Raw genomic sequence first — 14,284 nt, 5'->3', positions numbered from 1 at the left:
AAAAGTGGATTTTTAAGGATTTTTGAATTTCAAGTGTCAGTTTTATAAGATTTAAAAAAGGAATGTCCTGAGTTAACATAATTTTCAGGCTTATCATGTAGTGTTGAGATGGTCTCTTTGCACTAATAATTTCCTAATTATCTCATTACAGGCTTCCTTTCTGTCTGACCAGCCTGAGCCTTACCTGCCATTTCTTTCACGCTTCATTGAAACACAGATGTTTGCCACCTTTATTGATAATAAAATTATGTCTCAGTGGGAAGAGAAAGATCCTTTGCTTCGGGTCTTTGACACTCGGATTGATAAGATAAGGCTGTATAATGTAAGGGCACCCACCTTGCGGACATCTATATATCAGAAATGCAGCACTTTAAAAGAAGCAGGTACATTTGCCATGCCTTTTAAATTAAATTAAAATCCATTATCGCTTTTTTCCCACAAATTGCTGGCCTTACGTACAACAAAATTAATTTTCAGTTTTAGACTTCATGGCTAATCCTGGTACTATATCACGAAATGCTTTGTAAATTTTTCTTTCTGAGTCCTACTCCTACTTGACGTTCCTCTTCTCTTAGAAGAGGAAAAACAATAATAAATTGAATCAAGTATGTCTGGAAGGTTGCTATGATTTTTGTTTTTGTTTTTGTTTTTGAGATGGTTCTCACTCTGTCACCCAGGCTAGAGTGCAGTGGCGCAATCTTGACTCACTGCAACCTCCGCCTCCTGGGTTCAAATGTTTCTCCTGCCTCTGCCTCCCAATTAGCTGGGATTACAGGCACGCACCATCACGCCTGACTAATTTTTGTATTTTTATAGAGTTGGGATTTCACCATGTTGGCCAGGCTGGTCTTGAACTGCTGACCTCAGGTGATCTGCCCTCCTCAGCCTCCCAAAGTGCTGGGATTACAGGTGTGAGCCACCATGTCCAGCCTGACTTTTGTTTTATTCTCTTTATTGCCTAAATGGAAAAAATGTTAATTTCTGTCTTGCTACTTATGTTTCTTTTTCTTTTTCTTTTTCTTTTTTTTTTTTTTGAGGCGGAGTCTCACTCTGTCGCCCAGGCTGGAGTGCAGTGGCGCCATCTTGGCTCACTGCAAGCGCCACCTCCCGGGTTCACGCCATTCTCCTGCCCCGAGTAGCTGGGACTATAGGCGCCCACCACCACACCCGGCTAATTTTTTGAATTTTCAGTAGAGACGGGGTTTCACTGTGTTAGCCAGGATGGTGTCGATCTCCCGACCTCGTGATCGCCCACCTCGGCCTCCCAAAGTGCTGGGATTACAGGCGTGAGCCACTGCGCCCGGCCTTATGTTTCATTTTTACTTCTCACCTCTTCTCTATATCCAAGAAAGGATATTTATTTAAAACAGTAAATCTTAGATTCTGCTTAATTTACATACTAAAACAGTATCTTTGCTTTAGTAGTGCCATTAATTATAATAGCTTCACTTATTGAAATTAAATCTGACTCAGGCTGGGCGTGATGGTTCACACTTTTAATCCCAGCACTTTGGAAGGCCAAGGCCAGCGGATCACTTGAGGTCAGGAGTTCAAGACCAGCCTGGCCGACATGGCGAAACCCCATCTCTACTAAAAATACAAAAATTAGCCAGGTGTGGTGTCATGCGCCTGTAATCCCAGCTACTAGGGAGGCTGACATAGAAGAATCACTTGAACCCGGGAGGCGGAGGTTGCAGTGAGCCAATGTGGCACCACTGCACTCCCGCCTGGGCAACAGAGCAAGACTCCGTCTCAAAAAAATAAAAAGAAAGCAGTTAAATCTGAGTCTTAGCCAGTCTTGTCTAGGAGTGTAATATAGTCCATTAAATAAATAATCATATTAATAGCCAACATGAGTATTTACTATGTCAGTCATCATGCCAGGTGTTCACGAATTTTTTTTTTTTTCTTTTGAGACAGGGTCTCACTTGTTGCCTAGGCTGGAGTGCAGTGGTGCCATCATGGCTCACTGCAGCCTCAACTTCCTGGGCTCAGGTGATGTTCCTACCACAGCCTCCTGGGGAACTGGTACTATAGGCATGTGCCACCACCCTCGGGTAATTTTTTGTATTTTTTGTAGAGACAGGGTTTCACCATGTTGCTCAGGTTATTATCTTACCTTGGTTGGTCTTGAACTCCTGGGCTTAAGTGATCCACCTGCTTCAGTTTCCTAAAGTGCTGGGATTACAGGTGTGAGCCCAGCACCCTTTTTTTTTTTGAAACAGAATCTCGCTGTCACTCAGGCTGGAGTGCAGTGGTGCCATCTCGGCTCACTGCAACCTCTGCCTCCTGGGTTGAAGTGATCCTCCCACCACAGCCTCCCAAGTAGCTGGGACTACAGATGCATGCCACCATGCCTGGCTAATTTTTTGTATTTTTGGTAGAGACAGGGATTCACGATGTTGCTCAGGCTGGTCTTGAACTCCTGAGCTCAAACAAAACACCTGCCTTGGCCTCCCAAAATGCTAGGATTACAGGCATGAGCCATCATGTCTGGCCTGGAATACTTATTTTTATTTTGTTTTATTACTGCCCTCATTTTACAATTGAGAAAACTGAGAGGTTAAGTAACTTGCCTGTGGTTGGTGGTTGCATAGCTAGTGATTGGTCGAGCCATGGTTTGAATCCAGGTCTGATTTCTGGCACAGGAAGCCTTAACATCATGTTAGCTGTTCATTCAAGAAAGAACTATGTAAAATGTACTAGTCCACACTTATTTTATACAATTATGCCTGGTCCTTAACCTGTTCTTTGCCAGATAAGCAGATACCTATCACCTGACGGCCCTCCCTTTTATTTCTTTCCCTTCAAATGTTGGAGTTATTTGACAGCAACTTTTCCTCTGGAGAAAAAGGAGGCAGCAAATGTGGAGCTTCCTTGATCTGTCTCTCTTGATTGCTTGCCTGCCTTTCCCACTTTACTTAAATAGATCAAAGTCAGGAATGATGATGCTGAAGCTTTAGCGTATGTAAGGGAGAAGTATGTAAATGATGTCTTTTATGTAACCATAGAAACATCACCCTGTTGTATTCCCACGAATCAGGGTAGATCCCTGGAGCCCCTTCAGGAAGTGGCAATTACCTATGTGGTTTTGGAAATTGAGAAAGTAGAATTAATGAAATTGTCTATCCTTGTTCAGAGAATAAAATGACTTCCAGTGCCTTAATAGCCATGTGAATAGCATAATGCCTTGTTGCACAAATTTTATTTCTCCCTTCCTGATGGAATTTTTTAGATGGAACTAAGCACCAATACCTTAATTGTGTGCTTCCAGAAAGTCTTTCCAATTAAAATAGATTTTCTTTCAGCCTCTCAGAGAGTTTGGTACTCCCACTGTCATCACAGAAATTATATAATACTCTTGAAAATACCACTGTGGCCAGGCACAATGGCTAACGCCTGTAATCCCAGCACTTTGGGAGGCCGAGGAGGGCAGATCATCTGGGGTCATGGGTTCGAGACCAGCCTGGCCAATGTGGTGAAACCCCATCTCTACTAAAAATACAAAAATTAGCTGGGCATGGTGGCGGGTGCCTGTAATCCCAGCTACTCGGGAGGCTGAGGCAGGAGAATCGCTTGAACCCAGGAGGTGGAGGTTGCAGTGAGCTGAGATTGCGCCATTGCACTCCAGCCTAGACTCCATCTGAAAAAAAAGGAAAAGGGGCAACATAAACTGATTCTATGAAATATTTATAAAGGCACCTGGTTCTTCTCTTAAATCACAAAATTAGCAGCTCCCACAGTGTGTTCTGTTTATCACACAACTACCATTACTGCTTGTTCTCCCCTTTTAAGTAATCTCTAGGCAGAGGATCAGAGACCTAGGCTTGCTTCTAAAATATATTTTCTCTTGACAATTCAGTTGATTAAAATGTTTAAGATCAGGTTTTATTTATTTGTTTACCTGAGAAATAGATCACTGTTTCTGGGGACTTTGAGACATCTTCCAACATCCCTGACTCTTAGTGGTTTTAAAATAGAAATGTTTAGTAATCCTATCTTAACATTCACCTATTTTATTCTTCAAAAGGCCAGTTTCTTATCCTCTGGACATTTTCTAAATGCCTGCTTATATGACTTTTTGCTGTATTACCTTCTTGATCTAATAAACACTCCAAAATGACTCCTACTAATGAGAACGTGACTGTTGCTAAAAGTGAGGTAATAAACTTCACACCGTTCCTTGTTTTTACAGATGGAGAACCACGAATATTTAATAGGTCTTTGTATAAAGAAGTAAAGTTAATAAGGCCATTGTGCTTGCGTCTTCTCTTTAACTTGTATTTCAGCTCAAGAAAAATATTTTATTTGCTATCATTTTCTTTAATGTTGTACTTAGAACCATATTTTTGTGTAAGAATATTGAATTTCTTACTTAAGAGAAACTGTTTCAATACAAAATTGTAGGCTTTTCATCCCCGCGGCCCTGATTTTGACAAAGGCAGAAAATACCATGAAAATTAATCATCCAATATTTACTTAAAGTTAACTTTTTATACTTACATTATACTAATTTCTGAAGAGCCCTTGTAAAAATCTATTTCAAGACCGGGCGTGGTGGCTCACGCTTATAATCCCAGCACTTTGGGAGGCCAAGGAGGGTGGATCACCTGAGGTCAGGAGTTGAAGACCAGCCTGAGCAACATGATGAAACGCCATCTCTACTAAAAATACAAAACTAGCTGGAACTGGTGGTACATGCCTGCGGTCTCAGCTAGTTGGGAGGCTGAAGCAGGAGGATCGTTTGAACCCAGGAGGTAGAGATTGCAGTGAGCTGAGATCGCGCCATTGCACTCCAGCCTGGGCAATAAGAGTGAAACTCTGTCTCAAAACATGCATATATGCGTGCGTGCGTGCACACACACACACACACACAATATCTGTTTCAGAGTGTCAGAGTGATTGGGTTCTCTGTAGGTGCATGAGTGGAGGAAGCATTATTTTTGAAGGGCTAGCAATGAAATGTCTCTAATTTATTATAAATTTAATTTATAGCCCAATCAATTGAGCAGAGACTGATGAAAATGGATCACACTGCAATCCACCCACATCTACTTGATATGAAAATTGGTCAAGGCAAATATGAGCAGGGGTTCTTTCCAAAGTTACAGTCCGATGTCTTGGCAACAGGACCAACCAGTAACAAGTAAGCATGTTCTTCACTTGAGTAGTTGGTTGAAGGAATGAATGAAGGGTGGGGTGCTCTGCAACTCAAATGGACAATGCTTAACTATTAAACATCTATCTGATTACTTTTTTCATGACCACATTAATGCATTTGAAATATGGATTGACACTTCTGTCAGTGCTTGACCTTTAAATCCATCATTTAAAAAAAAAAAGAAAAAAACAAAGGCTAGAGATTTTTTTTTCTTTTTCAAGCAAAGTACACTTGGAAAAGCCACACTTTAAATGGCGATTTAAATATAATGATAATACTATCTAATGGAATTTAGAAAGGTTAGACCTTTATCATCTGTGTTAGTTTCCTAGGGCTGCTATAACAAAGAACCACAAACTCAGTGGCTTAAAACAACAGAAATTATTCTTCCACAGTTTTGGGGGGTAGAAATTTGAAATCAAGGAATTGGCAGGGCCACGCTCCCTTCGAGGCTTCTAGGGAATGATCCTTCCTTGCCTTTTCCAGCTTTTAGGAGAACATAAGAGAGTTTAGCAACAGCCTGTCACACCAGTCTAATGAGATCCTTCCAGATGAAAGAGCCTTCAGATGTCTCACCTCTGCCTTAAACTGGGTTCTGTTAAGAGGAGTGGTTCCAGAGAAGACAGGATAGTACTTTGGGTAGCAAGATATATTCTTAGGCTCTATCTTCCCTCTTGAAGAGCTAAAGAGAAAATTTTTTGAAAAGAAAATTTTTAGTTTTAGTATCCTTTTAAATATTTAGAAAAGGAACACCAAACAGTAAAGTGAAAGAATTGTGGCCAGGCATGGTGGCTCACGCCTGTAACCTCAGCACTTTGGGAGGCCGAGGCAGGCAGATAGCTTGAGCCCAGGAGTTCAGGACCAGCCTAGCCAATGTGGCGAAACCCTGTCTCTACAAAAAAGATAGAAAAATTATCTGGGCATGGTGATGTGCACCTGTAGTCCCATTTACTCAAGTGGGAGAATCACTTGAGCCCCAGGAGGTTGAGGCTACGGTGAGCCGTGATTGCACTACTGCCCTTCAACCTGGGAAACAGGCCCTGTCTCAAAAAATAAAAATAGTATTAAAAAGAATTGTGGATTAAAAACAGCAACAACAACAACTTCATTTGGAGCTGGGTGTGGTGGCACATGCCTGTATCCCTAGCTACTTGGGAGGCTGAGATGGGAGGATCACTTGAGCCCAGGAGTTGGAGGTTGCAGTGACCTATGATCACCACTATTATCCAGCCTGGGCAACACAGCGAGGCCCTGTCTCAAAAAAAAAACTTGGGCCAGGCACGGTGGCTCACGCCTGTAATCCCAGCACTTTAGGAGTACGAGGCAGGAAGGATCACTTGAGCCCAGGAGTTTGAGACCAGCCTGGGGAACATAGGAAGGCCCTGTCTCTACAAAAAAATACATACATTTTTTTTGAGACAAGGTCTTGCTCTGTTGCCCAGGCTGGAGTGCTGTGGCCCGATCATGGTTCATTATAGCCTTGACCTCCCCAGGCTCACGTGATCCTCCTGCCTCAGCCTCCCAAGTAGCTGGAACTAAAGGCACATGCCACCACACCTAGCTAATTTTTGTATTTTTTTATAGAGACAGGATTTTGCCTTATTGCCCAAGCTGGTGTTGAACTTCTGGGCTCAAGCAACCTGAACTCCTTGGCCTCCCAAAGTGCTGGGATTATAGGTGTGAGCCACCAGGCCAAGCCCCTACAAAAATTTTTTTTTAAATTAGGCCAGGCATGGTGGCTCATGCCTGTAATCCCAGCACTTTGGGAGGCCTAAGCAAGTGTATCACTTGAGGCCAGGAGTTAAAGACCAGCCTGGCCAATGTGGCGAAACCCCGTCTCTACTAAAAATACAAAAATTAGCTGGGTGTGGTGGTGCATGCCTGTCATGCCAGCTACTTGGGAGGCTGAGGCATGAGAATCACTGGAGCCTGGGAGGCAGTCAGGCATGCAACTATAGTCCCAGCTACTGGTGAGGCTTAGGTGGGAGGATCACTTGAACCTGAGAGGTCTAGGCTGCAGTGAGCCATGATGTGATCGCATCACTGCATTCCAGCCTGGTCAACCTTGCAAAGACCCTCTTTCAAAAAAACAAAAAACCCTTCGTTTGATTGACCTTTCATTTAAAAGGCTGTCTCAACTTTAATGAAGGCAGTACTAGAGGATGGTTCACTAGAAATGTGGAAAAGTTATATATTCAGAATGAAATTTTCTCCTCTTGTAGAAAATGCACGTTTATACCAAAGTCTTGGGGAGGAAAATTGTTCAAGAGCATTTAATATGCTGCTTACAAGACAGAAGCAAATAACTAATGACTGAAATTTTTATTGTACTTGCCTTAGTTTGCAGGGTTTCACCCTCCAGTGAAGGGGTGGCCCTGCTTTTATACACACTGAACTTAAAAAATGTGCTAAGATGCGAGGCCTGGTGGCACTCCCCAGTACTACCTACTGGGAGGCTGAGGAGGAAGTATTCCTTGAGGCCAGGAGTTGGAAGCCACGACGTGCAATGATTGTGTCTGTGAATAACCTCCAGCATAGGCAACATAATGAGACCTCATCTTTATTTTAAAAAAAGAAAAAAAATGTGCTAATAGATACTGATGGTTGTGAGGGTTCAAACTTTCCAGATAATGGTACTAGATACAATATTCTATTTTTCAGAAGTGGATGATAATTAAGAGAATTTTCCATAAGAACAGATTAGCCATCAGTTTATTAATTTTTTCTTTTATTTGTGAAGTATCCTAATTGTTCGAATCACTTTGATCTGGATAGACTATTAGTTTAACAGTTTTTGTTTCCTTTTTTTTTTTTTTTTTTTTTTTTTTTTGAGACGGAGTCTCCCTCTGTTGCCCAGGCCAGAGTGCAATGGTACGATCTCAGCTCACCGCAACCTCCACCTCCCAGGTTCAAGCGATTCTCCTGCCTCAGCCTCCCTGAGTAGCTGGGATTACAGGCATGCGCCACTACGCCAGGCTAATTTTATTTTTTTATTAGAGACAGGGTTTTACTATGTTGGTTAGGCTGGTCTAGAAATCCTGACCTCAGGTTATCCGCCCACCTCGGCCTCCCAAAGTGCTGGGATTACAGGCGTGAGCCACTGCACCCGGTGCTTTTTTTTCCTTTTGATGGCATTAGATTGTTCATTCATTCATTTGGCAAATATTTATGGAACTCTTACTATATGTGAGGACTGTCCTAGTCACCACGAGTTTATTAATGAACAAAACAACAAAAATCTCTGCTTCCAAGTGCAAGTAAACAAAAAAAAAAGGAACCTAATATGTCAAGTAACATGTCAGATGATAAGAGTTATGAAGAAAAACAAAGTAGGAAAGAAAAGTAGAGAGTGCTTAGGAGGGAGGAGTTTAATTTTGAAATCTTATAGCCTTATTTTCTTGCTTTTGCCTTATATATAATCTTATGGTTTCCCATTTCCACACGAAGCCTCAGTCATTACGTTTTCAGGTAGATATAGTCAAGAGAAAAGATCTCAGAACAATTGCAGGGTAAATGGATTTATAACCATGCCTGTGGATCAACTGTTGAGAGAACTTCATATGCTGTTTACAAGACAGAACAAAATAAGCAGTCTTTAGTATTTCAGCAATTGTGATTATCATTGGTAAAATTATGCTTAGTAAATAAAGTTTAATAATGCAAAGAATAAATTAATTACTTAACAAGACCAGGAATGTGTGGACTTCATAGCAGTTTGCTTAAGCGCAGTGCTCATTTCCCTGTTTTGAAAATAAAATTAAGTAGGCCATTTTGTTCCACAGAGTGTATAGTAAGAGCTAGTTATATTTAAGTTAATCTTTATCCTTTTCTGCCTGCCAAAGACACAGTTTTATGCCATTTATATTTTTGTGCCTTCCTTTTCGTTTATTATATAAGTCCGTTAGCTAGTATTTATATTCTGTTTCATATTTTTACTATTTATTTGGACTACCTTGCCCATTAACCCTAATTTTTAAAATCCCTGAGCAAACTTTGTGTTATACTGACCTTTTTTGCTACAGGGCTGTTTTCAAGGCCTCCATATCAAAGATCTACACCCAGGTCTTTGTACATTTTGTTTGTTATTTATATTCTATTCTTCCCCTTTAAAGATCTTCAGGTTGTGTTTATATTCTGTTTCAGAATCTTAATGTGTTTTTTGTGGTTCATAATTTTCAATCACCCCCGATTCTTTTTGTATCCTTTTTACAGTCTTACATTGCTCTTTTGCTTTGGAGACATTTCCAGGGATTCCACTTCAAAGATCTGTAACTAGATCTTTGCACATTTTTCCCTTATATAAACCATAAACCTACTCCTCTTCTTAAGAAACTATTTTGAGAGGGGCTACCTTCCTTGATACCATTGTAAAAAGAGTAAGTATTCTTAGGATAATGAATACATTTCATGAGGATGATAGGTAAGAGCTGAGAAAATTTTAAAAAATAGATGGATACAATATTTGCTCTTTAAAAATCTGGAATATTGGCCAGGCGCAGTGCCTCATGCCTGTAATCCCAGCAGTTTGGGAGGCCAAGACAGGTGGATAACAAGGTCAGGAGTTCAAGGCCAGCCTGGCCGAGATGGTGGAACCCCATCTCTACTAAAATACAAAAATTAGCCGGGCACGGTGGCTGGAGCCTGTAATTCCAGATACTCGGGAGGCTGAGGCAGGAGAATCACTTGAGCGGCAGAGGTTGCAGTGAGCTGAGATCAAGCCACTGCACTCCAGCTTGGGTGACAGAGTGAGACTTCGTCTCAAAAAAAGAAAAAATCTGGAATACTAGAAAGTGATGGGGTTAATTTTTAACCACTCAGAATCGCATCACCATGGAATGTTAAAATGTGATATTATGCTCTTACATAGCAAGGTTGGGGGAGCAGGAGAACGGGAGTGCACACATCTTGTTTTTGAAACAAAATTAAAATGTTTATAGAATGTTATACCTTTTTTATTACTGTATCATTAGCATTCTCATATTATTAGAAATTTGAATTTTTTAATGACTGCATGAGATTTCATTGTATACTACCCTCTACTGTTGAACATTTCGGTTGTTTTGAGTATATTTTCTTGATTCTACTGTTGGTTGTACGATCTGCAATTAACTCAAAGGCTTTTAGGAAAAAGTATATATTAAACATGCATATGGACTGAAAGATGCATCCTAATTTCAGGAACATTTAAAAGCCAAAATGTGAGTCTTGGAATAAAGGAAATACAGTTTGTTATTACATATCTATATGCTGTGATGAACATCTGTAAACCTACATGTTAGACTGCATCTCTGTTTACTTAATTGTATTTATACAAGGGGCAGATGATGGCCAGGCATGGTGGTTCACGCCTGTAATCCCAGCACTTTGGGAGGCCGAGGCCAGAGGATCACGAGGTCAGGAGATCGAGACCATCCTGGCTAACACAGTGAAACCCCGTCTCTACTAAAAATACAAAAAATTAGCCTGGCGGGTGCCTGTAGTCCCAGCTACTCGGGAGGCTGAGGCAGGAGAATGGCATGAACCCGGGAGGCAGAGCTTGCAGTGAGCCAAGATTGTGCCACTGCATTCCAGCCTGGACGACAGAGTGAGACTCCGTCTCAAAAAAAAAAAAAAGGGGGGGGCAGGTGCTATAGTAGACTTTGCCAGTAAGATGGCTGACAGACAAGATACTGGCCCTTCTAGAGGAGATTTTATAGAAAATGGAGATAAGTAACTATAATACTCTGTGATAGATACTATAATTGAGGCGTACAGGATGGGTAGCTAACTTAGATTTGAAAGAGTCATAGAACACTTTCTGGAAGCAGTGGCCTCTAATCTATCTGAAAGGTGAATGAAAGTTGGGAGAAAACTTCATGGACAAAGGCTCAGAGGTGACAGAACTTATTTCATTGGAAACACTGAGGTTGAAAATTGCAGGAGCTGGGTCGGGCGCAGTGACTCACGTCTGTAATCCCAGCACTTTGGGAGGCTGAGGCGGGCGGATCACCTGAGCTCAGGAGTTCCAGACCAGCCTGGCCAACATGGTGAAACCCCGTCTCCACTAAAAATACAAAACTTAGCTGGGCATGTTGGCACATGCCTGTAATCCCAGCTGCTTGGAAGGCTGAGGCAGGAGAATTGCTTGAACCTGGGAGGCAGAGGTTGCCGTGAGCTGAGATTGCGGCATTGCACTCCAGCCTGGGTGACAAGAGCAAAACTCTATCTCCAAAAAAAAAGAAAATTGCAGGAGCTTAAAAGTAGAAAGAGCGATCAGCAGTACTAAATGTAGAAGAGGTTTTGAGTAAGCTAAGGATCAAATAATAGCCATTGGATTTGGCAGTTAGGGGTTTCAGTGGCTTCATCAAGAGGATTTTTAGGATTGGGCACGGTAGCTCATGCCTGTAATCCCAGCACTTTGGGAGGCCGAGGCGGGCAGATCACTTGAGGTCAGGAGTTCGAGACCAGCCTGGCCAACATAATGAAACCCTGTCTCTACTAAACAATACTAAAATTAGCTGGGTTTGGTGGCACATACCTGTAGTCCCAGCTACTTGGGAGGCTGAGGCAGGAGAATCACTTGAACCCGGGAGACGGAGGTTGCAGTGAGATCACGCCACTGCACTCCAGCCTGGGTGGTAGCCTGAGACTCCGTCTCAAAAAAAAAAAGTGGGGGGGCTTTAGGCAGCTGGGAACAGACACACCTGTAATCCCGGCACTTTGGGAGGCTGAGACAGGCAGATCGCATTAAGCTCAGGAGTTCAAGACTGATCTAGGCAACATGGTAAAACCCTGTCTCTACAAAAAATACAAAAATTAGCTGAGCATTGGTGGCTTGCACCTGTAATCCCACCTACTTGGGAGGCCGAGGTGGGCGGATCACATGAAGGTCAGGAGTTCGAGACCAGCCTGGCCAACATGGTGAAACCCCATCTCTACTAAAAATACAAAAATTAGCCGGGTGTGGTGGTGTGCACCTGTGATCCCAGCTATTCGGGAGACTGAGGCAGGAGAATCACTTGAACCCAGGAGGTGGAGGTTGCAGTGAGCCGAGGTCTTGCCACTGTACTCCAGCCTGGGCGACAGAACAAGACTCCGTCTCAAACAAACAAACAAACTAAAACAAAATTTAAAAAGCGTTTTCAAGGGAAGTAGATGATTTGAAATGAACTGAAGATCCAAACGTAAATAAGTAGAAGTCTTACATCTAAATATTTTAAGAATTTTTACATCAGAGGTGTGAAGAAACAGATGTTAACATGACTACAGAGGGCCACGAGGGAGACCAACATGCTTGTCAGCTGAAGAGATTCCACTGAGAAAAAGATTGGCGATACAGCAAAGGAGGTGACTAATGGAGCGGGTTGAAAAGACGGGAGAATTGGTCAAGGATGCAAGTGGAAGACACAGTTTTGAGCCTTGGCTAATGTATTTTATACTTTGAGATTAGAAGAAAGATGAGGATGTTTATGTGTGTGTATTGTCTAAGTAGAGGGCAGGAAGAAGGAGGCAAGGGTACCTGAGGGTGAAGAGTTTGCAGTAGTCTTTGAGGAGAATGGGGAAGAGTTGATAAAAGGCAGGTGAAGTGATTCATGGGTAGTCGTGAGAGAAATTGGGAACTAGTCTGTGTGGGTACGGGAATAGGGAAGTGAGGGGATAGTCTTCATCCGGGGTTTGGGGCTCTGGTGGGCAGGTAAGGAGGGAAGTAGAGGATTATTACAGAGGAGAGAGTGCTAGAATGGGAGTAGTTTAGGTGGCTTTCCGCAGAATTTATGTTCATAACAGAAAGACGAGAAAGCACCAGGGGTCTTAAGTGAGAGTCAAGGCATGGAAGAGCTAATGTAATGGGAGATGGGGGTCAGTGGCTAAGATGGTGGAGTTCAGGATTTCTGAGGTAGAGGAGTTCTGGATGACCATTGGATTTGGAGAGGAGTTCTGGATGACCATTTGATTTAGTGTGATGTCCTGGTTGCGTCTAAAGCTGAGTGGAGGTGAAGTTGCATGTTAGACGACCCCAGAATTTTAAGACAAAGTTATCTATATAGTCTTTGTACTTCCCATAGCAGGGAAGAAAAGAAAACTGAGCCAGGTTCCAAATTCTTCACTGAATGAAGATGATAGAAAGGAGTGATTAAGGATAATCGCTGGATGGTTGAGTCTTACACACTAAGCTGGAGCCTGTAGGTAGCTAGGCTGGCGACAAAAGGACCTTTGAATAAGGGAAACATTATATATTTTTAAGCCCCTCATATCATCCAGGGCAGGTCTGGGTCTAGGGCACATGAGTTGAATCATTATTAACCAAAAACAAAGGTATTTGAGCTGGAAGGCAACTTACATCTTCGGCCATACCACCTTGAACGCACCTGATCTCATCTGAAAGGCAGTTTCGATACCAGCAGTTTAGTAGCAGAGAAGATTATTATAGAACTAGCACTGATTTTATCAATCATTTAGAAACAGAATGGAGGTTACTATACTGGAACATAGTAATTAGGGGAGAAGTGATATAAGATCAGAGAGAATGAAGCAGAGGTCTTTATATTTAAGAGTTTTATAGGCCTTGGAAAAGAGCTCAGGTTTTATTTTAAACTCATTTGTCCTGCATATTTTGATACTGAGTTTATATTATAAATATTTTCTAAAACTGATAAACACAAGCTATCACTTCAGAAACACAGTCATGAAATTTTAGAGCAAAAAGGAATCACAGTGGTCTTTGAGTACAACCCTTAGACTTTACAGATGAGGACTCACTCTTATGAGTTTGAATCTTTCTATTTATCTTGAGATGGGATATCACTGTCATCCAGGCTGGAATGCAGGAGTGCAGTCGTGGCACACTGCGGCCCCAAACTCCTGGGCTCAAATTATCTTCCCACTTCAGCCTCCCAAGTAGCTAAGGAGGCTAATTTTTTAAATTTTTTGTAGAGACAGTCTCACTATGTTGCCTAGGCTGGTCTCGAACTACTGGCCTCAAGTGATCCGGCCAAAGTGCTAGGATTACAGGTGTAAGCCATTGCAACTAGTCAAGTTGGATAGAAATCTTTCCTTAAAAGGTTGGAAGCTTCATACATTTCTATTCTTTTAGGACGCTAGAATTAAGTAATTCTAAATTATGGGTTTTGAGAATATTCTTTGTAT

At 42.0% G+C, this 14,284-nt stretch overlaps 1 protein-coding gene across 24 annotated transcripts in view; it reads left to right on the top strand.

Annotated features, from left to right (window-relative positions):
* DENND5B (DENN domain containing 5B) overlaps positions 1 to 14,284 on the top strand; it is a 208,911-nt gene that overhangs the window by 143,216 nt on the left and 51,411 nt on the right. For all 24 annotated transcript variants that reach the window (XM_047428429.1, XM_047428424.1, XM_047428430.1 and 21 more), the window contains 2 exons: positions 152 to 383; positions 4,996 to 5,146. In XM_047428429.1, the coding sequence (XP_047284385.1) occupies positions 152 to 383; positions 4,996 to 5,146 (383 nt within the window). The remainder of the gene's footprint in view (positions 1 to 151; positions 384 to 4,995; positions 5,147 to 14,284) is intronic.

This window comes from Homo sapiens, chromosome 12 (genome assembly GCF_000001405.40).
Source record: "Homo sapiens chromosome 12, GRCh38.p14 Primary Assembly".
NCBI lineage: Eukaryota > Metazoa > Chordata > Mammalia > Primates > Hominidae > Homo > Homo sapiens.
The sequence above is the reverse complement of the archived record's forward strand: the minus strand, read 5'-3'. Positions and strand labels throughout refer to the sequence as shown.